The sequence below is a fragment of the Homo sapiens genome, chromosome 7 (genome assembly GCF_000001405.40).
Source record: "Homo sapiens chromosome 7, GRCh38.p14 Primary Assembly".
Lineage (NCBI taxonomy): Eukaryota > Metazoa > Chordata > Mammalia > Primates > Hominidae > Homo > Homo sapiens.
The window spans coordinates 100,062,681-100,088,161 of NC_000007.14; the positions used below are offsets into that span (position 1 = coordinate 100,062,681).

At 48.4% G+C, this 25,481-nt stretch overlaps 2 protein-coding genes across 37 annotated transcripts in view, besides 5 other annotated features; one reads left to right on the forward strand and one right to left on the reverse strand.

Annotated features, from left to right (window-relative positions):
• Positions 1-2,360, forward strand: part of ZSCAN21 (zinc finger and SCAN domain containing 21) — a 15,267-nt gene extending 12,907 nt beyond the window's left edge. For 6 of the 8 annotated variants that reach the window (XM_005250568.5, XM_047420806.1, XM_006716113.4 and 3 more), the window contains one exon: positions 1,108-2,360. In XM_005250568.5, coding sequence (XP_005250625.1) covers positions 1,108-1,937 — 830 coding nt within the window. In that variant the 3' untranslated portion in view covers positions 1,938-2,360. The remainder of the gene's footprint in view (positions 1-1,107) is intronic. The other 2 variants (XM_047420807.1, NM_001362781.2) reach the window with 1 other exon arrangement.
• Positions 1,157-19,897, reverse strand: ZNF3 (zinc finger protein 3). Of its 29 annotated transcripts, none has more exons than XM_047420802.1 (6): positions 19,621-19,897; positions 16,856-16,976; positions 14,623-14,753; positions 12,862-12,950; positions 12,455-12,581; positions 1,157-2,232 (listed from the first exon to the last, which is right to left on the reverse strand). In XM_047420802.1, exons 3-6 carry the CDS (start codon positions 14,675-14,677, stop codon positions 2,108-2,110), a joined length of 396 nt encoding a protein of 131 aa, XP_047276758.1. In that variant the 5' UTR covers positions 14,678-14,753; positions 16,856-16,976; positions 19,621-19,897; the 3' UTR covers positions 1,157-2,107. The 29 variants fall into 29 exon arrangements, with proteins under 29 accessions (XP_047276758.1, NP_060185.2, NP_001305066.1 ...); NM_017715.4 differs by lacking the exon at positions 19,621-19,897 and adding an exon at positions 18,955-19,043; NM_001278287.2 differs by lacking the exon at positions 1,157-2,232 and adding an exon at positions 7,293-9,532 and having other exon boundaries at positions 16,856-16,892.
• Positions 3,206-3,500: a silencer, noted in NCBI's record as "tiled region #7718; HepG2 Repressive non-DNase unmatched - State 14:Gen5'". NCBI's record gives its function as "represses a minimal TATA promoter and a strong SV40 promoter by Sharpr-MPRA in HepG2 cells {active_cell/tissue: HepG2}" and the evidence as "EXISTENCE:reporter gene assay evidence [ECO:0000049][PMID:27701403]".
• Positions 18,982-19,131: an enhancer, noted in NCBI's record as "active region_26334". NCBI's record gives its function as "activates an Ori minimal core promoter by ATAC-STARR-seq in GM12878 lymphoblastoid cells {active_cell/tissue: GM12878}" and the evidence as "EXISTENCE:reporter gene assay evidence [ECO:0000049][PMID:35858748]".
• Positions 19,288-20,269: an enhancer, noted in NCBI's record as "OCT4-NANOG-H3K27ac-H3K4me1 hESC enhancer chr7:99679591-99680572 (GRCh37/hg19 assembly coordinates)". NCBI's record gives its function as "activates a minimal SCP1, AML or CMV promoter by ChIP-STARR-seq in naive and primed H9 embryonic stem cells {active_cell/tissue: H9 hESC(naive and primed)}" and the evidence as "EXISTENCE:reporter gene assay evidence [ECO:0000049][PMID:30033119]".
• Positions 19,372-19,451: a silencer, noted in NCBI's record as "silent region_18413". NCBI's record gives its function as "represses an Ori minimal core promoter by ATAC-STARR-seq in GM12878 lymphoblastoid cells {active_cell/tissue: GM12878}" and the evidence as "EXISTENCE:reporter gene assay evidence [ECO:0000049][PMID:35858748]".
• Positions 24,409-25,102: an enhancer, noted in NCBI's record as "H3K27ac hESC enhancer chr7:99684712-99685405 (GRCh37/hg19 assembly coordinates)". NCBI's record gives its function as "activates a minimal SCP1, AML or CMV promoter by ChIP-STARR-seq in primed H9 embryonic stem cells {active_cell/tissue: H9 hESC(primed)}" and the evidence as "EXISTENCE:reporter gene assay evidence [ECO:0000049][PMID:30033119]".

The following is a 25,481-nucleotide window of genomic DNA, read 5'->3' on the forward strand; positions in this document are numbered from 1 at the left end:
CCTAGCCAACATGGTGAAACCCCATCTCTATTAAAAATACAAAAATTAGCTGGGCGTGGTGCCAGGTGCTTCTAGTCCCAGCTCTTCGGGAGGCTGAGTCAGGAGAATCACTTGAACCCAGGAGCGGAGACTGCGGTGAGCCAAGATGATACCACTGCACTCCAGCCTGGGCAACAGAATGAGACTCCGTCTCAAAATAAATAAATAAAATAAATATTTTTTTAAAGATAGGGTCTCACTCTGTTGCCCAGGCCAGCACAATCATGGCTCACTGCAGTCTTGACCCATTGCAGCCTTGACCTTCCAGGCTTAAGTGATCCTCTTATTCAGTCTCCCAAGTAGCTGGGACCACAGGGGCACACCATGCCCACCTAATTTTTTTATTTTAACTTTTTGTAGAAATGGGGTCTCCCTATGTTGCCCAAGCTGGTCTTGAACTCCCAGACTCAAGCCATCCTCCCGCCTCAGCTCCCAAAGTGCTGGGATTACAGGCGTGAGCCGCTGTGCCCGGCTACCACTCTCATATGCTGCATTTTGCCTTCTGTATGTGAAGCTGTTTTTCTGGCAGAAAAAGCCACGTTCTCTTCACATCTTAATAGCTTCGGGTGGGGAATTGTGTGAAAGTGTGGTATGGAGGCCAGGCCTGGTGGCTCATGCCTATAATCCCAGCACTCTGGGAGGCTGAGGCAGGCGGATCACCTGAGGTCAGGAGATCAAGACCATCCTGGCCAGCATGTTGAAACCCCATCTCTACTAAAAAAAAATACAAAAAATAGCTGGGTGTGGTGGCACGTGCCTGTAATTCCAGCTACTCTGGAGGCTGAGGCAGGAGAATCGCTTGAATCAGGGAGTTGGAGGTTGCAGTGAGCTGAGGTCACCTGCATTCCAGCCTGCTGACAGCGAGACTCCATCTCAAAAAAAAAAAGAAGTGCAGTATTGTAAACTAGATTGGATGCTGATTTACTTGTATCTATGCGCTATCATGAGCTCTGTTTAGTCACCCTTCAGAAACCATCAGTCTCACCTGATGGTTCTATCTCTCTGGTAACAGTTTCTTCCTCAGAACAAGAAACAACTGAAGTATCCTTAATCTGCTTATTGTTTCAGATTGCAGATTGAGTACCCAGCACGAGGAATCAGCAGATGAGCAGAAAGGTTCTGAAGCAGAGGGGCTCAAAGGGGATATAATTTCTGTGATTATCGCCAATAAACCTGAGGCCAGCTTAGAGAGGCAGTGCGTAAACCTTGAAAATGAAAAAGGAACAAAACCCCCTCTTCAAGAGGCAGGCTCCAAGAAAGGTAGAGAATCAGTTCCTACTAAACCTACCCCAGGAGAGAGACGTTATATATGTGCTGAATGTGGCAAAGCCTTTAGTAATAGCTCAAATCTCACCAAACACAGGAGAACACACACTGGGGAGAAACCTTACGTGTGCACCAAGTGTGGGAAAGCTTTCAGCCACAGCTCAAACCTCACCCTCCACTACAGAACACACTTGGTGGACCGGCCCTATGACTGTAAGTGTGGAAAAGCTTTTGGGCAGAGCTCAGACCTTCTTAAACATCAGAGAATGCACACAGAAGAGGCGCCATATCAGTGCAAAGATTGTGGCAAGGCTTTCAGCGGGAAAGGCAGCCTCATTCGTCACTATCGGATCCACACTGGGGAGAAGCCTTATCAGTGTAACGAATGTGGGAAGAGCTTCAGTCAGCATGCGGGCCTCAGCTCCCACCAGAGACTCCACACCGGAGAGAAGCCATATAAGTGTAAGGAGTGTGGGAAAGCCTTCAACCACAGCTCCAACTTCAATAAACACCACAGAATCCACACCGGGGAAAAGCCCTACTGGTGTCATCACTGTGGAAAGACCTTCTGTAGCAAGTCCAATCTTTCCAAACATCAGCGAGTCCACACTGGAGAGGGAGAAGCACCGTAACTTTCAAGCGCTCCTGTTGTTGTCGTTGTTTTAAACTTTAGAATCTGAAAACCAGAAAGAAGTCTTGTCATTGCAGCAGCATCGATTCCGGTGATAGAGTTTGTATCACTCAACATCAGGGGATGCCTGAGGAGTGCGAGCTCCACAGCAACATGGCAGGCAGGAGGTCCTCAGAAGGTGTCAGGAGGTTCCACACTCGCCAGTTCACTGGAGCAGAGTCCCTTCGCCACACTTAGGGTCCCAGTAAGCCATGCCAGCATTACCTTTTGCGTAGTTAAACAGACGTGTATCCAGTCTAGTTAAGGAAGAAACATTAAGATTGTTTAATTTTTAACATATATTCAAGAATTTTAATTTGTAAAGAATTGAGCCACATTGAACACAATTGAATGAGATTCAGAATAAACTTATAACATCTTGTAATGCCTCAGGACTATTATTATAACAAATGATGTGTTGGTTATTGAATACTTACAGATGGAGAAAACTATTCCTACTGGTTTAGCTTTTAGAAAATTTGGATTTGGGGGTCAGGCACGGTGGCTTACGCCTGTAATCCCAGCACCTTGGAAGCCTGAGGCGGTCGATCACCTCAGGTCAGGAGTTCGAGACCAGTCTGGCCAAAATGGCGAAACACTGTCTCTACTAAAGATACAATTAGCTGAGCATAGTGGCGGGTGCCTGTAGTCCAAGCCACTCGGGAGGCTGAGGTGGGAGAATCGCTTGAACCCGGGAGGCAGAGGTTGCAGTGAGCCAACATTGCGCCACTGCACTCCAGCCTGGGTGACAGAACGAGACTCTGTCTCAAAAAAAAAAAAAATAAAGCGAATGCTTTCACTAGATAATAACTGCATACCAAGAGCCAGGGGCCATGTTGAACTGTGCCGGCACAGCTGTTGTGGATGAGTTTGTGGCAAACAACCATTATCAGCCACAACTCGTCGGTTTTTTACAGAAGCCATACAGAAAGAGTGTCTTTTGCGTCTTTGAGGGCAGCAATAATCACTTCAGTTCCATTCAGGGTGTGGTATTGTTTCTTGCCACTTTGATTGGCTGGGGAAGGGCAGGGTGTGCAGGAGTTTCCACTTGACCCTTCTGCCTATGACCTAAGCTACAGGTTAAGTAAACAATGTGCTGGGCATCTGTCCCCCTGCTAAACATATCCCAATTATCTTCTCAGGGACATGGCCATAGGGTGAGTCTGTTCCCACTGGGCCCACTGAGATGGATTTGGGCCAGGACTCCATTTATCAGCTGACCTGTGTCTGGAGGGCAATGGTAAGTTTTAGATCCGTGTCATACTAGATCCTGTATCAAAAAGCCTCAAAAGGCCTGGGCATTCTGTTTTCTTAGTACGTTACTCTAGTGAACAGCCACAGGTCCTTTGGGGAAATATTTATTGCATAATACTCGTGGTACAGTTGGAAGGTCTTCAAAGAAACCCAGACTCCCCTTAACTTGATGGATTCCAGATCTCAGAACTGGCTCAGATCTGGAAAGCAGCAGCAGGATTGCAATTTCCCATTGTAACAGCCGGTATCAGCCTTCTCATCAACTCTTGGGATTTTTTGTTTATACAAATCAAAGCCTTATCCTGTTGGCTGAAAGTTTTTGTTAAGAACACCAAGGGTTATTAGTCAATGCCACAGTTCTCTGTGGGTCAAGACACCCTAGTGGGCTGTGCACAGTGGCTCATGCCTATAATCCCAGCACTTTGGGAGGCTGATGCAGAAGGATCGTTTGAGCCCAGGAGTTCGAGACCAGCCTGGGCAACATAGTGAGATCCCATCTCTCTTGTTTTTTAAATTCATATTTAATTTAAACAAAAATAAGGCCGAGCGTGGTGGCTCACGCCTCTAATCCCAGCACTTGGGAGGCCGAGGTGGGCGGATCACGAGGTCAGGAGATTGAGACCATCCTGGCTAACAAGGTGAAACCCCATCTTTACTAAAAATACAAAAAAAAAAAAATTAGCTGGGCGTGGTGGCGGGCACCTGTAGTCCCAGCTACTCCGGAGGCTGAGGCAGGAGAATGGCATGAACCTGGGAGGTGGAGGTTGCAGTGAGCCGAGATCACGCCACTGCACTCCAGCCTGGGCAACACAGTGAGACTCCATCTCAAACAATAAATAAATAGGCCGGGTGTGGTGGCTCACGCCTGTAATCCCAACACTTTGGGAGGTTGAGGCAGGTGGATCACCTGAAATCAGGAGTTTGAGACCAGCCTGGCCAACATGGTGAGACCCTGTCTCTACTAAAAATGCAAAAATTAGCCAGGTGTGGTGGCGTGCGCCTGTAGTCCCAGCTACTCAGGAGGCTAAGGCAGGAGAATTGCTTCAACCTAGGAGGCAGAGGTTGCAGTGAGCCGAGATTATGCCATTGCACTCTAGCCTGGGTGACAGAGTGTCAAGATTCCATCTCAAAAAAAAATCACCCTAGTTGCCACTCTGGCCTGGTTGCCCATCATGGTAATTGTGTCCACTTTGCCTGTGATAGCTCAGTGCTGCCGCCTGGCCTCTGTTGACCAGTCATCCCATTAATAACAGGGAACTCTGTTCTGTGGCAGAATCTCCTACTATTAACCCTGCTGAGGCAGCTGTCACTGAACAATCCCGGTGCTCCCCTCACTTCATCCTTTATTGTCTGAGTGAACGGGAAGCTATTTGGGCCTTCCGAGATAACATAGGTGTTTGGTTCTCAGATCTCGTGTAAGAAATTCATTTTAACACACGCTGAGTCTGCTGACACCCTTTCTCTGCTCATCATTTTAGCAGCTCTACCTCATTTACTGTAGGCCATCATTCCTCGCCAAGTATTGGATTTTTTTCTTTTCAGAGAGACAGGGGTCTCATTATATTGCCTAGGCTAGTTTCCAACTCCTGGGCTCAAGCAGTCCTCCCATCTCAGCTTCCTGAGTAGCTGGGACTACAGATGTGTGCCACCACGCCCAGCTAATTTTTATTTTTGTAGAGACTGGGTCTCACTATGTTGCCCAGGCTGGGCTTGAACTCCTGAGTTCAAGCGATTCTCCTGCCTTACCCTCCCAGAGTGCTGAGATTACAGGCGTGAGCCACTGCACCCAGCTGATTAATACATGAAAACCACTCGGAAAAGAGCCAGGCAACGCTGACACAGAGTATATGCCATGTATCAGCTACTGCTACCATCACTTGCAAATCCCATCTCCTCTACAATCTCAACTCTGAAAACAGTATCATTCCACTCCATCTTTACTGAACCTGCCCAGGCTTGATGCTGGTTAGATGGAGGAGGATGAGGAGTATAATCAAAGAAAACTTACAAAATTTTGATCCTGACAGGTTTACAGAAATTTTAAGAGGGGGCAATAAATGGGAAAGTGGGATCTGGTTTGAAACATACTATGAAACTGTAGAAAGTCCAGGTGTAACTGCTCTGCAGTCCACTGGAGACCCACGACTGAGGCTTGGGAGAGCCATCAGGACATGGGCAGGTTTTTTTCTTCTTCTTCGAGACAGTCTCGCTCTGTCACCCAGGCTGGAGTGCAGCAGCATTATCTCAGCTCACTGCAACCTCTGCCTCCTGGGTTCAAGTGATTCTCCTGCCTCAGCCTCCCGAGTAGCTGGGATTACAGGCATGTGCCACCAAGCCTAATTTTTCTATTTTTAGTAGAGACAGAGTTTTACCGTGTTGGCCAGGCTAGTCTCAAACTCTCACCTCGTGATCCGCCCGCCTTGGCCTCCCAAAGTGCTGGGATTACAGCCATGAGAACACAGATTTAAAATTTATTTGCATAGGCTGGGCGTAGTGGCACATGCTTGTAATCCCAGCACTTTCGGAGGCCGAGGCAGGCAGATCATGAGGTCAGGAGTTCAAGACCAGCCTGGCCAACATGGTGAAATCCCGTTGTCTATTAAAAATACAAAAGTTAGCTGGGCGTGGTGGTGGGCGCCTGTAATCTCAGATACTAGTGAGGCTGAGGTTGCAGTGAGCCGAGATTGGTCCACTGCACTCCAGCCTGGGCAAGAGCAAGACTCCATCTCAAAAAAAAAAAATGGCAATCTATAAAGTAATTTCATTTCATTTTTGAGACTGTCTTGCTCTGTTATCGTGTGGTGGTGCAATCACAGGGGCTCACTGCAGGCTCAACTTCCTAGGCTCAAGCAGTCCTCTCACCTCAGCCTCCCGAGTAGCTGGGACCACAAGTGTGCACCACCACACCCAGCTAATTTTTTTTTTGAGATGGAGTCTCACTCTGTTGCCCAGGCTGGAGTACAATGGAGCAATCTTGGTTCACCGCAACCACTGCCACCTGCATTTAAGCGATTCTCCTCCCTCAGTCTCCTGAGTAGCTGGGATTACAGGCACGTGCCACCACACCTGGCTGATATATATATATAATTTTTTTTTTTTTAGGAGAGAGAGCATTTCACCATGTTGGTCAGGCTGGTCTCGAACTCCTGACCTTGTGATCCGCCCACCTCGGCCTCCCAAAGTGCTAGGATTACAACTGTGAGCCACTGCGCTCAGCCCTAATTTTTTTTTTTTAATTTTGTTGTAGAGATAGGGTCTTGCCACGTTGCCTAGGCTGGTCTGAAGAGATTCTACTGCCTTGGCCTCCCTAAGTGTTGGGATTATAAGCATGAGCCACTGTACCTAGCCTATAAAGAAATTTTAGGGCCAGGCATGGTGGCTCACGCCTATAATCCCAGCACTTTGAGGCTGAGGCCGGCAGATTGCTAGAGCTCAGTTTAAGACCAGCCTGGGCAACATGGTGAAACCCCATCTCTACTAAAAATACAAAAATTAGCTGGGGCGTGGTGGTGCACACCTGTAGTCCCAGCTACTCTAGAGACTGAGGCACGGGAAGTGCTTGAACCCGGGAGGCAGAGGCAGCAGTGAGCCAAGATGGTGCCACTGCATTCCTGCCTGAGCAACAGTGCTAGACTCTGTCTCAAAAAAAAAAAAAAAAAAAAAATTAAGTCAACTTTCAAATTCCATTTATAGTTACCAACATGTCTTGTCTTTTTTTTTTGAGATGGAGTTTCGCTTTTCTTGCCCAGGCTGGAGTTCAATGGCGCGATCTCAGCTCACCACAACCTGCGCCTCCCGGGTTCAAGTAGTTCTCCTGGCTCAGCCTCCTGAGTAGCTAGGATTATAGGCATGTGCCACCATGCCCGGCTAATTTTGTGTTTTTAGTAGAGACGGGGTTTCTCCATGTTGGTCAGGCTGGTCTAGAACTCCAGACCTCAGGTGATCTGCCTGCCTTGGCCTCCCAGAGTGCTGGGATTACAGGCATGAGCCACTGCACCCAGCCAACATGTCTTGTTTTAACTGAAATATATGGTCCAAACATTGCACAAAACCACACTCAATCTCTTCTGAAAAACTATTCTGTTTAATAGTGCACTTCATTTATGCTACAGGATGAGCAGGGTTGGGAAAACACAATGGAAGGTCATCCCGTCGGTTGGGAAAACTCGGGGAGTGCCATCCTCACCCAGCAACGAGCTCTGCTACCAGGCTCAGGCACAGCCTGCCTTCTCTGGGCTTCGTTTTTTTGTTTTTTTGTTTTTTTTTTCTCCCTTTTGGGCTTTGCTCTTTCTCTGCATTAATCTTCAGCTGCTGAAGAGTCAGAGGTGGAGGCAGGAGTGGTCTGGCTCCTGGGGCTGGGTGTCAGAGGTGAGAGGGCAGGGCAAGCAGGCCAAGTGAGCTCCTTGAAAGCATCCTTACCCAGGCATTTAGAGAAAATCATTTTCATCATTGGAGTGGGAAGAGGACAAGAGAGGACAGCAATCAGAGGCCAACGCTAAGTGCTTCTGACCCTCTCCCTCACAGCCGGTTACTAGCTGTTTGGACAGATTTGCCCATTCAGCCCCAGGACAACTGGGGGGGATGGCAGGGGGTCTGCTGGCAATATCACCAGGTTTCTCTTGGAAACATGGTCTGGCTGCTCCAAGAGCCCTAAAGGACACCATCATCACAGATGATGATTCTGGAATCTCTTCTACCCTCAATAAAATAATCCCTCAATGCCAAATTTCCATAATTAACGAAATCATGAAACAAAACAGCATGTTTCTTACCGAAACTTAAAGCTGGACTAGGAACAGTAGCTTTGAAATAGTCTCCCTTTACCCTCCCTAGCAAATAACAGGACCCAGAGCGTCCTTTCCACTGCTGTCTGTGCTGACTACGCGGACTCCAACTAAAGGAATCCATCGAATTCTGTCCCGACTGTGCTTCCATCCCCACCTTGGAAAGGTTCCTCTGCTGTGAGAAAAACAGTTTAGTGCAAACTCCTTTCCTAAATGGGGTAACTGGTCCCAGAGCTGCTTTCTATTCCCAGCACGCCATCCACTTGCCTTGACGCTTTCTAAGGCTGGTGTGATTTCTGGGAAAATTCAACGATTTGCCCCATCTGCCCCATTCTCTAAAATGAAAAGTCTGAGTTGAAAGGGACACATCCTAAGCTGTTGAGATTTATAGGGTAAGGCAAGAGCTCTTGAGACTCAGGGAAAGTGAGGAAAATGGGTGTGTGGCTCTTTCACGTGGACTCTCTGATATTTAACTCGGTCGTAACTCTGAGGGAGCTTTTGCTCATGCCGATCCCATTCAAAGGCTTCTCTCCAGTGTGAATTCTCTGATGGCGAACAAGAGCCGAGCTGTACCTGAAGGCTTTCCCACACTCACTACATTCATAGGGGTTCTCCCCGGTGTGGATTCTTTGATGCTGAATAAGGCCTGAACTGTAGGTAAACTTTCCTCCACATTCCATACATTCGTAGGGCTTCTCTCCAGTGTGGATTCTCTGGTGCTGATAGAGGTGTGAGCTCTGGCTGAAGGCTTTCCCACATTCATTACATTCATAGGGTTTTTCTCCAGTGTGGATTCTCTGATGGTGAATAAGGGTTGAGCTCCTGCTGAAGGCCTTCCCACATTCATTGCAGGCGTAGGGTTTCTCACCAGTGTGGATTCTCTGATGGTGGGTGAGGGTGGAGCTCCAGCTGAAGGTCTTCCCACACTCATTACATTCATAGGGTTTCTCCCCCGTGTGGATCCTCCGATGCAGAATGAGGGCAGAGCTACAGCTGAAGGTTTTCCCACAATCACTACATTCATAAGGTTTTTCCCCAGTGTGGATTCTCTGATGCTGAATAAGGTGTGAGCTCTGGCTGAAGGCCTTCCCACACTCATTACATTCATAGGGCTTTTCCCCAGTGTGGATTCTCTGATGTTGAATAAGGTCTGAAGTTCGATTAAAGCTCTTGCTACATTCATCACACTTATGGGGTCTGTCTCCCACGGGGAGTCTCTGATGTGAGATAAGGTTGGAATTCACAGTGAAGCTGTTCCCAAAATCATTATATTTCTCGCTTCTCTCTCCCCTGGGGGTTAGCTTCTCCTCAACTGTCACTTGACCAAAATCTGGCATTTTCCTGTTCAGTCTTTCTCCAGGGGAGTTCCCCAGCGGCCTTTTCAGACTGACTTCTCGTTCATAGGCTTCTTTAAACTTGAGACCCTGAGAAATATCCTTTTGAAATCTTCCCAGTAGGACCCCATGTGATCTTGTGTCTTCAGAAATTTCTTGATCATTTTCAGTCCTGGTCTCACGATCTGACACAATAAAAAATGCAAATGTCACTTGTTCCTTAGGGAAGAAAGAGTGAAAATCACAGGACAGGATCATTGTAACGAATACTTACAGTGCCAAAAGCACATGCCTACAAAGAGGCCTGCCCCACATGTGTGCGGCTAAGGCAAAATGAGACAGCCGGGCTAAGGAGACAGGGAAGGGGCAGGGCAGAGCAAAACCAAGGAGAACAGAGCTGGAAGTGGAAAGAAAGCTGAGTGTGTGTGGAGGGGAGGACGGATCAGGCAGAGAGGCAGGGAACCAACTTTAGAAGAGGAAGGTCATATTGCTTAATGAAGTGACAAAGCCTTTAGAGAGGTCAGGGCAGTGGATATAACTGGGGACACAGTGACTGCAAGAAGGGAGAGCAAGTACAGGACAGTTGGTGAGAAAAGGGGGGAAGGGTGAGGAGAGACAGCAGCAGCGCGGGAACAAGCAAGGGGGAGGATGCTAGTGGCTGCCATGGCCCCATAAGAAGAGCAATCATGGCTGTCGTCACGCCACAAATGCCAAGCCCATGGAAACGGCAAGACAACTGAGTCCGCCTCTGGGCCCTATGCATAAAAGGCTATGCTCGCACGTAAGGCTATGCAAAGAATCTCAGTGTCTGACGTCTCTGTTTTCACTCCTTTTGAGTTTCTAAAGCCAACTCTGGGCACAGAGGATAAATGTAAAGGGTCCAGAGAGTTTGCGTTTTTAGCTTAATTGATATTTTAAAAAGTAAAGACAGGGTAATGTGTGTTAGGGACGGGAACGGCTGTTTCTCCTTCACCTGAAGAGGTACCTCTTAGGACCTCTCTGCTCTCAGTTCCTTTGAAACCCAGGCCCCTTGGCTCTTCCTCTCATTCTAGCAGAGAGATGGTGGCAGGATTCAGAAATGGGAATTCTGCTCATGGGGAGAGACATGGGACAAGGAGGTTTATCTGCTCACCCTGAGAGTCCCAGAGCTCAATTCCAGACCCCAGATCTGCCGGGGACAGAAGGGAAATGTACAGGAAGGTCTCAAATGAGAGTTAGGAAGACGTCCTGGCTCTGCTCAGGAAAATGCCCACTAAGAGTGGGGTGAGAGACAAGGAATTCTACATCCTAAAAGTTGAGAAACTAATTTATTAATCTTTCTTTTTTTGTTTTTGTTTTTGAGACAAGGTCTCACTCTATCGCCCAGGATGGAGTGCAGTGGCGTGTTCTTGGCTAACTGCAACCTCCACCTCCCAGGTTCAAGCAATTCTCCTGCCTCAGCCTCCCAAGTAGCTGGGATTACAGGCACATGCCACCACCCCCAGCTAATTTTTTTTGTATTTTTAGTAGAGATGGCGTTTCAACATGTTGGCCAGGCTGGTCTCAAACTCCTGACCTCAGTATCTGCCCGCCTCAGTCTCCCAAAGTGCTGGGATTACAGGCATGAGCCACCGCGCCTGGCCTAATTTCTTAACCTTTCTAAGTTTCTACAGAGCAGCAGGGGCACTAGGTCCTGAACAAAGCAACAGGTCCCTAGAAGTTAGAGAAGGGGAGCAGAGAAGCAGAGAAGGAGAGGACAGAGACGTGGGCAAAGAGCAGCACCTCATGTGTTCAGGGATAATCCTTCGGAAAAGTCTCTGGATTATATATTAAGTCCTGAGAATAACACGGAAAAAGTATCAGATTTGGCCAGGCGCGGTGGCTCATGCCTGTAATCTCAGCACTTTGGGAGGCCGAGGCAGGTGGATCACCTGAGGTCAGGAGTTCGAGACCAGCCTGACCAACATGGAAAAACTCCGTCTCTACTAAAAATACAAAATTAGCTGGGTGTGGTGACGCATGCCTATCATCACAGCTACTCAGGAGGCTGTGGCAGGAGAATTGCTTGAACGCAGGACGCAGAGGTTGCGGTGAGCCGAGACCACGCTATTGCACTCCAGCCTGGCAACAAGAGTGAAACTCCATCTCAAAAAAAAAAGGTACCAGATTTGGAGTTAAAGACTGGGCCCCAAGTTTTGCCACTCATCAGCCCAACTGATGACCATGCATGCACAAGACATTGAGACCGCTACTCTCACCTCCACTTTATTTACTTATTTATTTTTTGAGACAGGGTCTGTGTCACCCAGGCTGGACTGCAGTAATGCCATCTCGGCTCACTGCAACCTCGGCTTCCCAGGCTCAAGTGATCCTCCAACCTCAGCCTCCCAAGTAGCTGGGACTACAGGCATGTGCCACCATGCCTGGCTAATTTTTTGGATATTTGGTAGAGACAGGGTCTCGCCATGTTGCCCAAGCTGGTCTTGAACTCTTGACCTCAAGTGATCCTCCTGCCTCAGCTTCTCAGAGTGTTGGGATTACAGGTGTGAGCCACCTCGCCTGGACTACTTTCACTTTCCTTACCTGTAAAATGAGGAATAATACTAGCTGCCTCAATTAATGTGTTACTGTGAAGATTAAATGAAAGAATATATATGAGAACTCTTTATAAGTTGCAGACTGCTGTATAAATGAGTTAAGATTATTGTTCTTACAGTTTCCTAAGACTAAGTCAATCCTTACCTAGGCCAGGTGCAGTGGCTCATGCCTATAATCCCAGCACTTTGGGAGGCCAAGACGGGTGGATCACTTGAGGTCAGGAGTTTGAGACCAGCCTGGCCAACATGGTGAAACCCCGTCTCTACTAAAACAAAAAAAAACAAAACAAATACAAAAATTAGCCTGGTGTGGTGGTGCGTGCCTGTAGTCCCAGCTACTTGGGAGGCAGAGGTGAGAACCTGGGAACACTTGAATCTGGGAGATGGATGTTGCACTGAGCAAAGATTGTGCCATTGCACCTCAAAAAAAAAATCTGCTGAAACAGCTCTTTTCAGTGACTAGATTGTTACTAGCAAACGAAGAAGCAAAGAAACACCAGCGAGTTTTGTTGACAAGGCATAACTCCTTACCCAGTGAGAACACATTCCCGTAATTCTCCAGCATCACATCTCTATAGAGGTCCCTCTGAGCAGGTTCCAAACGCTTCCACTCCTTCCGGATGAAGTACACAGCTACATCCTCAAAGGTTACCAGCTCCTGAAACAACACGTGCTGGCATGCAATTTCAGGGTGAGGAATGTGAATGGCGGCACCAAAAAAATCACTGAGGATGGGGTGAAAAATGCACATTTGGGAAGGGAGGAAGGGAGGACAGGGTGGAGGAAGAGAGACAGGAGTCCAAGATAGAAGGTGAGGGTCCATGATTCAGCAGGACAGAACCATGGGCCTGATGGAGGAGATCAGGGTTTAAAGCTCTGAATGGGATGTCATTGCACAGAAAATGGAAAGGAAAAGGATAAACGGAACCACAGCTCACCTGGGACTTGGCCTTTAGGAGCGCAGCCGCCAACATCTCATCCCCCAGGCTGTCCTTGTCGGAAAAGGCAGGAACTTTTGAAGGAAGAGCTGAAGGGCAATAAAAGGGCCCAGGAATGAGTCCATCTGCTCTGTGACCTCCCAACCTGCTGACTTCCCAACCCACAGAAAGCTCCCGGGGTCCTGGGACAACACAGGACCCTCTCTCTCACATTTCTAAGTTTGCTTCCTCTGCAGCTAGCTACAGTGTGTCCAACAAAGGCAAACTCAGAGCGAGTCCATCCTGCCTGAGCAGATGGCCACAGGCCTGGTCATTCTTAGTCTCCAGTCTGTCCCAGGTCCCCTCTTCTCTCCAGTCACTCTTCTCTCAATGAAACCGCCCAGTCCTATCTTAGTGATTACTGCATTCTTGTCCATTCACCCAAGCTTGGCCAGAAACATATGATCCCGCTCTTGCATGAAGTTCTATTTTTTTTTTTTTTGAGGTGGGTTTTGCTATGTTGCCCAGGCTGGTCTCAAACTCCTGGGCTCAAGTGATCCTCCTGCCTCAGCCTCCCAAATAGCTGGGATTACAGTCGTGTGCCACTGCACCCAGCATGAAGTTCTTAGACCAGAGAAAAACCAGCAGCTTCACCCCAGCCCTGACTGGAAACACAATGCCCACAGCTCCTTTCTCTCCACCCCAGATCAAATCTGTACACTAAAAATGTTCCCTGTTTCTGTGTTGAATCTCTTACCTTTTTCTGCAATTCTTTTTTTTTTTTCTTTTTGAGGTGGCGTCTCACTCTGTCACCCAGGCTGGAGTGCAGTGGCGTGATCTCGGCTCACTGCAACCTCCACCTCCCGGGTTCAAGCAATTCTCCTGCCTCAGCCTCTGGAGGAGCTGGGACTACAGGTGCGTGCCACCATGCCCGGCTAATTTTTTGTATTTTTAGTAGAGATGCGGTTTCACTGTGTTGGCCAAGATGGTCTCAATTTCCTGACCTTGTGATCTGCCCGCCTCAGCCTCCCTAAGTGCTGGGATTACAGAAGTGAGCCACCGCGCTCGGCCGCAAAGTATACTTTAGTGGCTTCCTATTCACTCTGTCTTTTTGTCTATGACCCATAAAATGATTCCGAAGCGCCTCCTCTAAAAGCATGCTCCTAAAAAGCACAAACTATGCCTATGAAGTCGGCTGCATAGAATGCCCGAGAAATGGAATGATTGACACGGTTTCATTAATCTCGCGTGAGGTACTCACAACCCCTCAAAACTGCCTCAGTGGCCAGGCGCGGTGGGTCATGCCTGTAATTTCAACACTTTGGGAGGCCAAGGTGGGCACTGAGGTCAGGAGTTTAAGACCAGCCTGACCAACATGGCAAAACCCCGTCTCTACAAAAATTAGCCGGGCATGGTGACGGGCGCCTGCAGTCCCAGCTACATGGGAGGCTGAGGCAGGAGAATCACTTGAACCCAGGAGGCGGAGGTTGCAGTGAGCCGAGATTGTGCCACTGCACTCTAGCCTGAGCAACAGAGCAAGACTCCATCTCAAAAAAAACAAAACAAAACAAAACAATCTGCCTCAATTATCAAACCTATCAAGCTGTCATTGATTACTGTTCGGTCAGCTTCCCCACTAGGCTGTGAGTTACTGAATGGCGAAGAGTGTGTCTTATTCACATCTGGATTCTAGTAGTTAGCCTAGTACCTGGTAAGTGAGCGATTTCAATGGATGATTGCAGAATGACTGAGTAAAAGAATGAATGAGTCCTTATTCCTCACCACTGTCAAGCAGGGCCTGAGGTTCCTGAGATACGAGATCAGCCTGAGTTTCCATGGAAGGGCAAGGTGCTCTCTGGTCTCCTGGGTGCAGACTCAGCGGGAAGCGGGTTTTAAAAGAGAATGAGGAAGCACTGCAGAAGCAAAAGTTCAAGGTTCAAAGATAATTCAAAAAAACCTCCTGAATACAGAAAGATGGGAGCTAGTATTTCAGTGAGTACCCAGGAACAGTGAGAAGAAATGTGGCAACTGGGACTAGTCTTTTATTTTCTTTTATTTTTTAATTTTTTTTTTCCTTTTTGTGGAGAACAGGGTCTCGCTATATTGCCCAGGCAGGTCTGGAACTCCTGGGCTCAAGCTATCCTCCCACCTGTTGCCTCCCTGAGAGCTGGGATTACAGGCGTGAGCCACCGCGCCCGGTATTTTTAAATTTTCTTTATTTTTTTTAAGACGGAATTTCACTCTTGTCACCCAGGCTGGAGTGCAATGGCGCAATCTCATCTCACTGCCACCTCTGCCTCCCGGGTTCAAGCGATTCTCCTGCCTTAGCCTCCCAAGTAGCTGGGATTACAGGCACGCACCACCATGCCTGGCTAATTTTTGTATTTTTAGTAGAGGTGGGATTTCACCATGTCAGCCAGGCTGGTCTCAAACTCCTGATCTCAGGTGATCCGCCCACCCCAGCCTCCCCAAGTGCTAGGATTACAGGTGTGAGCCACCATGCCCAGCCTCAGACTAGTCTTTTAGATCCTGGTAAATATACTCCCTGAAATGAGACTATCACAAGGACCACAAAAAGGGCCCAAGTTCCTCAACAATATCCCGCCTTTGGCTGCCCCCATCACTTTGAGTAATATTTATAACAAAATGCAGGAGCGGGTATATACATTCACTGGCATAAAAAGACTACTCCCAGGCTGGGCACGGTGGCTCATGCCTGTAATCCCAGCACTTTGGGAGGCTGAGGCAGGCAAATCACGAGGTCAGGAGTTCGAGACCAGCCTGGCCAGGATGATGAAACCCCATCTCTACTAAAAATACAAAAAATTAGCTGGGCATGGTGGTGTGTGCCTGTAATCCCAGCTACTCAGGAAGCTGAAGCAGGAGAATCACTTGATCCCAGGAGGTGGAGGTTGCAGTGAGCCGAGATCACGCCACTGCACTCCAGTCTGGGCAATAGACAGAGACTCTGCCTCAAAAAAAAAAAAAAAGAAAAAGAAAAGAAAAAATACAAAAATTAGCTGGGCATGGTGTTACATGCGCCTGTAATCCCAGCTACTTGGGAGGCTGAGGCAGGAGAATCGCTTGAACCCGGGAGGCAGAGGTGGCAGTGACCCAAGATCGCACCATTGTACTCCAGCCTGGGCAACAGTGAGACTCTGTCTCAAACAAAACAAAACAAAACAAAACAAACCAACCAACCCTGGATTTGATCTACCTCTCATTATCTCTTTACTCATTTGCTCACATAGCAAATGTTTGCTGAGGGCTAACTCTATTGCCACTCACAACTGCAAGGAGTAAAAAAATCGGGAATGCAAAAAGTATGTGCTTCATAATTACAGACTGTTACACTCACATAAGGCATCAAAGGAAGAGGAATGGATAAGAGAATGTTTGAGAGAATAAAAGAAAAAAAAAGAACAAAGGAAGAGGGGTCCTGTTTGAAAGTCAGTCGCAAGTTTGGGCAACTCTGGTCTTCGGGTAGCAGGGGATATAGAATGTCCAATACCAGAGCCCTTACACAGTGGAAAGCACTGACTCAGGCACAAGCCAGGCCACTGGCAATCAAGGTGACACACCTTCTTGCCACCATCGCCCTCCTAGCAGGGTCCCTTCAATGGTGTCTCAGAGCCAACCATCATATCCTCTTATCAACCACCTTTACAATCTCCGGAGCTATTTATGAGCTGACGCCCTCAACAAGTCAGCTTTCAGTACAAACTCCTAGAAAGGCAGGTCAAAGGTCTGACTCCAGAGAAAAAGGCAACAGCTCCCTCTCACAGCTGGGTTAAGTGAAGCTGGAACTCAAAGGCATATTGTTGAGAACAAGCACCCAGTGTCCAGATCAGTAAACAGCGTTTCTCACAGAAAGAAAACTCTCCATTGTGCCCCCATGGCTTCAGGTCCAGACAGGGCCCTTCCCCTGCTCTGTTGCCAGCCTCACTCCCTGGTGCTGCCCGTGGGGACCGAGATAGATGGCCTGGCAGTAAGAACAAGACACGGAAAGCTTTACCTGCCTGATTCTTTCCTTCCTTCTTTGAAGTCAGTCCCTAGAAGGCCAAAGGAGCAATTACTGGGAATTTAGCAGCCTCTGTTCAAGTTCCCGGGAATTCTGACTTTTGTTGATGCCAATGCTGTGTGATTAAGGGGAAAAAAAGGAATTTAAAATATTCATGCAAACGTCTTTTTTTTTCCATGAGACAGGGTCTGACTCTGCTGCTCAGGCTGGAGTGCAGTGAGTTTGAGCTCACTCCAGACTCAAACTCCTAAGTTCAAGTGATCCTCCCAGCTCAGCCTCCCAAGGAGCTGGGACTAAAGGTGTGCACTGCCACATCTGGCTGAGTTTTTTAAAATTCTTTTTGTAGAAATGCAGCCTCACTGTGTTGCTCAGGCTGGTCTCAATCTCCTGGCCTCAAGTGATTCTCCCACCTCAGCCTCCCAAAGTGCTGGGATTACAGGCATGAGCCACCGAGTCCAGCCTAAACTTCATTTCTAATCAAGACATTTAAAGAAAAGGAAAAAAAAGAGAATACTTATTATATGCTAATAAATACCAATTAAGACCACCACCACAACTAGTATTTGCGTTGCACCCGTGGAGAGATGAAAGGGAATGGTAGGTTCTCAGGTCCACCTCCACCCAGGGTAAGAAAGTTCTAACGTTCTGTCAGCTAACTTGCTAGACACTGTGCTCCGAACTACTTCAGCAGGGGATCCACATTGCACAGCTGAGCCATTAGAAGTCTTCAGGTGATTCGCTGAAAATCTATCTCCTTGGACCTTCACCGCACAGAGACCTAGTGCATCACAGAAATTCAATGACTGGCGACCTGCAGTGGCTCACGCCTGTAACCCCAGCACTTTAGGAGGCTGAGGTGGGAGGATTACTTGAGCCCAGGAGTTCCAGGCTATGGTGAGCCATGATGGCACCACGGCACTCCAGCCGGGGGCAACAGAGCAAGACCTTAATACACACACAAACATTTTAAAAGGAAAAAAAAAAAAAAGGCCGGGCGCGGTGGCTAACGCCTGTAATCCCAACACTTTGGGAGGCCAAGGCAGGTGGATCACTTGAGGCCAGGAGTTGCAGACCAGCCTGGCCAAAAGGGCGGAACCCCGTCTCTACTAAAAATACAAAAAATTCGCCGGAGGTGGTGGCGGGCGCCTGTAGTCCCAACCACTCGGGAGGCTGAAGCAGGAGAAGCGCTTGAACCGGGAGGCGGAGGTTGCAGTGAGCCGAGATCGCGCCACTGCACTCCAGAGACAGTCTCAAAAATAAATAAAAATTAATTTTTTTAAAAAAAGAGCTTCAATAACAGAATCTTCTCCTTCCACCCGACTGTCCATCAAACACGTATAATCAAATGATGCCCACTCTCCACAGATGTCTTTTCTGGAGAAAATAATACGCTCGTTCCTCTAATTAGCCCATCGGTTTCAGGTTCATCACTCTGCTATCTTCTCCTGGAGTTTACAAAAGCCCTTCAGAGTGTAAACACCGATGTGGATTCAATCCCACTTCCGGAGAGAGGATCAAACCAGGAATCTAATACAACTGAAAACGGAGCCTGAGCCAGGTGTATCACGCGATGCACTGGGCTCCAGCAGGATTACCCCTGGAATCGGCGTCTGCACCCACTCCCAGCCCTCGTGCTAACTGCGTACGCTTAGCAGAATTTCTCTGATCCTTGGACCCAGCTGCGTAAAAATAAACTTCCTCTCCTGCCACGGGCGCGAATAACTGTGTTAACATCAAATAAAAACGTCTGGGAGAAATACCAAGTTAGGGTCGCTGTCATTAGCTGCTTTCAAGAGAGAGGCGCCCCTACCGCTCTGCTGAAACTTTTAAACGCTCCAGCTGGGTCGCCGTTAAAGTCACAAAACCAGAACCGGAGCCCCATTACTAACCCCTACGCAGGATCCCGCTAGGCTAGGGGGATCCCTGGGGAAGCGGAGTAGAGGACGGGCTGCAGGGGACGGAGGGGCGCCTCCCCGAACCCTGCTCCGGGCCGGCCGGGGGACCCTGCGGGCCGCAGTGGCACAGACACCACCCCCTTCCCCGGCGACCACAGCCTCCGTCTCACCGCGAGACCCGGGGACGCGTGGACTCACCCTGGGGGCAGGGACGACAGATTTGGGGGACCGGACACGGACCAGGCCCTGTTGGACCCTGTCACAGACCCACACACCGGGGACAGAACAAAGAACGGAAGTTCCCCCTCGTTTCGCTTCCGGGTCGGTTGTTCTTGCCACTCACCCGTACCCCCAACGCCCACTTGTTCTGTCTAGGAAAATGGGAGGTCCTCGCCTCTCTGTGGTTTGCTGACTCAGGGCGGCTGGCAGGCGGCGAGGGCAAGGAGCGCGATCGCTGACGCGGCACTCGGGGATCTTTCGCTGCGGGGGCTGGCCGGCTGCGCCCTCTGCTGGCCACGAATGTGCGAAAGCGGCCGACCACGGTCCTGGGCCTCAGGACATGTGCTCCAGCGTCGCCGGCCTTGGGGGCGGGCGGCGGGGGCGCGCGGGGATGTCGAGCCCGCGCTTCTCAGGCTGGCTCGCGAAGGGCAGCAGTAAACATACAATTATTGAAGGATTCATCAATATTAAAAAATGAACCCTGATTTAAAACTTGCCTCCGAACAAACCGAGTTTTTTTTGTTTCTTGTAAAAATGCCCCCTTTAAATTACCCACATCTGAAGAAAACATTCCAGTCCATCACAGAGTTGACATGAGGAAAAAACCCGTGTACAGGTGATGAGAGCAGAGAAGAGGAAGCTTACCGGCCGGGCGCGGAGGCTCACGCCTGTAATCCCAGCACTTTAGGAGGCCGAGGCGGGCGGATCACCTGAGGTCAGGAGTTCGAGACCAGCCTGGCCAACATGGCGAAACCCCGTCTCGACTAAAAATACAAAAAAATTACCCGGGCGTGGTGGCAGACGCCTGTAATCCCAGCTACTCTGGAGGCTGAGACAGGAGAATCGCTTGAACCCAGGAGGCGGAGGTTGCAGTGAGCCGACATCGCACCACTGTACTCCAGGCTGGCCACAGAGTGAGACTGTCTCAAAAAAAAAAAAAAGGAAGCTACAGGTGGAAGCGAGGCGGGGATAGTCAAGGAAGTGACCGTGTCCTGGAGACGCGGCAACCGTGGTGACCGCAGTCAACACAGTAAGCCCCAGCATTCGCATTGTAATTGAGCTCATTCAAGCTGAGCGCTCTCCAGTAGGGACTTTCCCCTGTAGGGAGCATGCGCATTTTGATTTCACCTGTCCTCAAACTGACCCTTTGCTCATTATCTTGGTAAAAAACACGCCCCTGGGTGGAAATTTAAGATGCTAATGAAACATGCAATGTATGAACAAGCCTGTACACCCACTGCGCATGTGCACCTAGAGGACCACCCAGAACATACTTACTAGTAACACTTCTCCCACCCCCTTATGAATAATCGTGTAAGACCCCTTACAAAGGGGGTCTCTCTAGAGCCAGCCTTTGCTGTTTCATCCTTAGGAGCAGCCCTCCCTGAACTAACTCTCTCTCTATCTCTCTCTCTCCCAGGGTGTACTGTCTACTCTGCACTTAACTTTCAAAATACTATTTTCCTTTTGCAATAAATTACTCTATGCTGGATTTCCTTTGACATGTGTTTCTTTTATTCTTTTTCCTTTTTTTTTTTTTTTTTTTGTTGTTGTTGTTGTTGAGAGGGAGTCTCACTCTTGTCACCCAGGCTGATTCTCGTGCCTCAGCCTCCCAAGTAGCTGGGACTACAGGCGTGTGATACCATACCCGGCTAATTTGTGTGTATTTTTAGTAGAGACAAGGTTTCACCATGTTGGTCAGGCTTGTCTCGAACTCCTTACCTCAAATGATCTGCCGCCTCAATCTCCCAAAGTGCTGGGGTTACAGGTGTGAGCCACCGCGCCCGGCCTCCTGTGTGTTTCTTGTTTAAATTTTTTTTTTCTTTTGAGACGGGGGTCTTACTCTGTCACCCAGGCTGGAGTGCAGTGTTGTGATTTCGGCTCACTGCAACCTCCACCTCACAAGGTCAAGTGATCCTCCCACCTCAGCCTCCCAAGTAGCTGGAACCCCAGATGCATGCCACCACGCCCGGCTACTTTTTTGTAGAGACAGAGGGTTTTCACCATGTTGCCCAGACTGGTCTCAAACTCCTGAGCTCAAGGGATCCGCCCACCTCAGCCTCCCAAAGTGTTGGGATTACAGGTGTGAGCCACTGCACCCAGCCTTAAATCCTTTTAAACTAAGAAGATAAGAAATGAGGTATCACAATAGCCATCAATAGAAGGAAAGCACCTCATCATGTTCATGCTTTCCTCTGCCTTCTTCAACATATGAAGTCTTTTTTTTTTTTTTTTTTTTAGAGACAGGGTCTCACTCTGTCACCCAGGCTGGAGTGCAGTGGCGCGATCCTACCTCACTACAGCCTCAACCTCCTGGACTCAGGCGATCCTCCCTCCTCAGCTTCCAGAGTAGCTGGGACCACAGGCACGCACCATCACACCTGGCTTCCTTTCTGTTTTGTAGACTGGGTGCTGCCAGTTCATGAATCCCTAATAAAGCCAACTCAATCTTTAAAATTCAATTTGTTGGCCGGGTGCAGTGCTTCACGCCTGTAATCCCAGCACTTTGGGAGGCCGAGGCAGATAGATCACCTGAGGTCAGGAGTTTGAGACCAGCCTGGCCAACATGGTGAAACCCTGCCTCTACTAAAAATACAAAAACAAAAATTAGCCGGGAGTGGTGGCAGGCACCTGTAATCCCAGCTACTTGGGAGACTGAGGTGGCAGAATGGCTTGAACCTGGGAGGTGGAGGTTGCAGTGAGCCGAGATCGCACCACTGCACTCCAGCCTGGGAGCGACAGAGGGATACTCCATCTCTGTATATATATACGTATCCTGAAGTATGTTTATGGTCTGTTTCCTACAACTAGGGTATAAGCTCCATGAGGTCAGGACTTCGTTTTGTTTAGTGATGTACCTGCTGCCTGGTAGGCACTCCCAAATATTTGTTAAATTAATGACTGATAGGTGAATAGATAACCACTGACCCATACCAAAAAGGAGCACTTGCTTTTTGTTCGTTTTTGTTTTTGGGGTGGGGATATTTTTTTGGTTTGTTTGTTTGTTTGTTTTGAGACAAACAAATATGGCGAAACTCTATCTCTACAAAAAATACAAAATTTAGCCTGGCGTGGTGGCACGCATTTGCAGTCCCAGCTACTTGGGAGGCTGAGATGGGACAGTCACTTGAGTTCAGGAGGTTGAGGCTGCACTGAATTGTGATTGTAACACTGCACTCCAGCCTGGGTGACAGAGCAAGACTCTGTCTCAAAAACAACAATAACAAACACAAAACAAAACAAAAACAAAAAAAAAGAAACGTTTAGCAAACTTAGTTCTAAAATGCGCACAATCAACTGATTCAATGTCAAAGTCATCCTTAAATTCCACAATAATCTCTTGTTTTATGAGCTGTATAATTATCTGAACAATGTTTCAAAAGCACCTGAAACAACAAGGCAAAGGAGTTCTTTAATGTGTGAGAGAGCAGTGCAAACGATCAACTTTACTAACCCTAGAATAATTCTCATCTTGTTTTTATTTTAGCCTTCTATCTAGCTGAGAAGCACTATGCTCCTTGGAAGCTGCCTAGCATTCTTTAAAGAGAGACATTTTTCTGGCCAGGCACGGTGGCTCACACCTGTAATCCTAGCACTTTAGGAGGCCGAGGCAGGTGGATCGGTTGAGGCCAGGAGTCTGAGAACTGACTAGCCAACATGCTGAAAACCCATCTCTACTAAAAATACAAAAATGAGCCAGGTGTGGTGGCGCAAGCCTGATATCTCAGCTACTTGGGAGGCTGAGGCACAAGAATCACTTGAACCCAGGAGGTGGAGGTTGCAGTGAGCCAACATCTCACCAAAGAGATACATTTTTCTGACCTGGTTTTTCCAAATAGAAACAAGGCATTAGGTACTTTTCTTTGACAACCCTCTCAGTTTGTCCAGACCTGGTTGGTTTATCACTGGGGACTAGAATAAAATAAATTCCTTTTTAACTTCCCTTTGGCGAGAAGACCCCTCTTCCTGCAGGATTTCTCAAGTCCGTTCCATTGAGGGTTGCTGGCCCCTTCAAGTTTCCTTCATCCAGGCTCCTAAACGGAGAGATTGCATAATTCCCCTGTAAATTACAACTATCACCATATGGGGCTGTTCAGGGTCATAACACAGTTCTTCACCTGCTTTCTAGGAGCTTACACTTTGGGTGGGGATACAGACACCTAGAGCCAGAGTATGTCTGGCTCTTTCTAGGTGTCTGTACCCCTCTTTGTAGGGGTGGCAGGAGGAGCAGTGTGTGCAACTTGCTTAGGTTTAGGGGTAAGGAGGGGGTGGAGCAGCCTAGGCTAGCCAGATGTGAATTTTGGGTTTTTTTATGAGACAGAGTCTTGCTTTGTCAACCAGGCTGGAGTGTGGTGGTGTGATCTCGGCTCGCTGCAACCTCCGCCTCCCGGGTTCAAGTGATTCTCCTCCCTCAGCCTCTCGAGTAGCTGGGATTACAGGCATGCACCACCACGCCTGGCTAATTTTTGTATTTTTAGTAGAGATGGGGTTTCACCATCTCTACTGGTCGAGACCAGGCTGGTCTTGAACTCCTGACTTCAGGTGATTCACCCACCTCGGCCTCCCAAAGTGCTGAGATTACAAGCATAAGCCACTGTGCCTGGCCAGGAACTCAGTATTTAAGGGAAGAAAGCATGCAAGAGGAAAATAAGGAAGAAGGAGAGGCAGTGAGGCAAATGTTTTTTGTTTTGTTTTGTTTTGTTTTTCTTAAGACAGTGTCTCGCTCTGTCAGCAGGCTGGAGTGCAGTGGCGCAATCTCGGCTCACTGCAACCGCTGCCTCCCAGGTTCAAGCGATTCTTGTGCCTCAGCCTCCCAAGTAGCTGGTACTACAGGTGCGTGTCACCATGCCCAGCTAATATTTTGTATTTTTAGTAGAGACGGGGTTTCACAGTGTTAGCCAGGATAGTCTCAATCTCTTGACCTTGTGATCTGCCTGCCTCGGCCTCCCAAAGTGCTGGGATTACAGGCGTGAGCCACTGCACCCAGTCCAGCAAATGGTTATTTTATTTTATTTTTTGAAATAGAGTCTCAATCTGTTGCCCAGGCTGGAGTCCAGTGGGTCCATCTCGGCTCACTGCAATCTCCACCTCCTAGGCTCAAGTGATTCTCCTGCCTCAGCCTCCCAAGTAGCTGAGATTACAGGTGGGCACCACCACACCCAGCTAATTTTTGTATTTTTAGTAAAGATGGGGTTTTGCCATGTTGGCCAGGCTGGTCTTGAACTCCTGGCCTCAAGTGATCCACTCGCTTCCCAAAGTGCTGCGATTACAGGCATGAGCCACTGCACACCCTGCTGCACATTGTTACTTTTTTGTGAGTTTCTCATTAGTGTTCAGTAAATCTACATTTTATGTAAGATACAATAAACATTTGAAAAGAGGGAGTGGAGGAAAAAGTCAGTTATGCATCTGTCTCAGGATAGGTGGAGGGATGATTCCTGGTCTCTTCCTTGTTCTATAATTGGGAAGATAAGCTTGTAATCAACATTGTCAGTATGAGATTTCACAGAACTCGGATTAGGGCTGGTTTATAGGGGGAATGTTTATGCTGAAAGATTCAGAGGCTAATGAGGAATTTCCTGGCAAGCAATTTGTGAGGAAGACCATCTGGGGAGGTATATGCCTTTTGCCATTGTAGGAGCCTGGCTTATGTATGAGGCTATGACACAGGGTTGTGGAATTACAGCTATCTGGGAACAAAAAGGAAGGGAGTTTTGACTCACTTCCCAAGCATAAATTTCCTCGGCATGCCTCTACCATACCCAGCGAATTTTGTTTCCATGTTTTGTTGAAACAAGGTGTCACCATGTTGCCAAGGCTGGTCTCAAACTCCTGGGTTCAAGTGATCCTCCAACCTTGGCCTCCCAAAGTGCTAGGATTACAGGCGTGAGTCACCATGCCTGGCCTTGTGGAGTTATCTTCTTTCTTTCTTTCTTTCTTTCTTTTTTTTTTTTTTTTGAGATGGAGTCTCACTTTGTCTTGCCCGGGCTGGAGTGCAGTGGCGCGATCGCAGCTCACTGCAGCTTCCACCTCCCGGGTTCAAGCAATTCTCCTGCCTCAGGCTCCTGAGTAGCTGGGATTACAGGCGCCTGCCACCACGCCTGGCTAATTTTTGTATTTTTAGTAGAGATGGGGTTTCACCATGTTGGCTAGGCTCGTCTCAAACTGCTGACCTCAAGTGATTGTCTGGCCTCGGTCTCCCAAAATGCTGGTATTACAGGTGTGAGCCACCATGCCTGGCCTTGTGGGGTTATTTTCGAAAGTCCTTGAGATAATTCCTATCTCAGACATGCAAGCATGAGACCTTCTCCTTGGTGTTCTCATGGCTCCAATTTGTTTGGACCTGACAATGTGATTTTGTCCTGGTATCTGCAACTTTCACAAGATGGAGCAACTAACTCAACACCAGATTCCACCCCTAATTATTCCTTCATTCACTCAAAAAGTATCTAGGCTCCAATGTGTCAGGCACCGTGTTGGTCACAGGGGATACCATGATGAACAAG

What these genes read in the sequence shown, in the direction of transcription:
- ZNF3 (NM_001371217.1), bottom strand. Translation starts at nt 12,746, where the DNA reads ATGGACCCTCACCTTCTATCTTGGACTCCTGTCTCTCTTCCTCCACCC. An exon ending in CGGGAATGTGTTCTCACTGG is followed by an intron (nt 9,533 to 12,454) that starts GTAAGGAGTTAT and finishes TTATTGTGTCAG; the next exon opens with ATCGTGAGACCAGGACTGAA.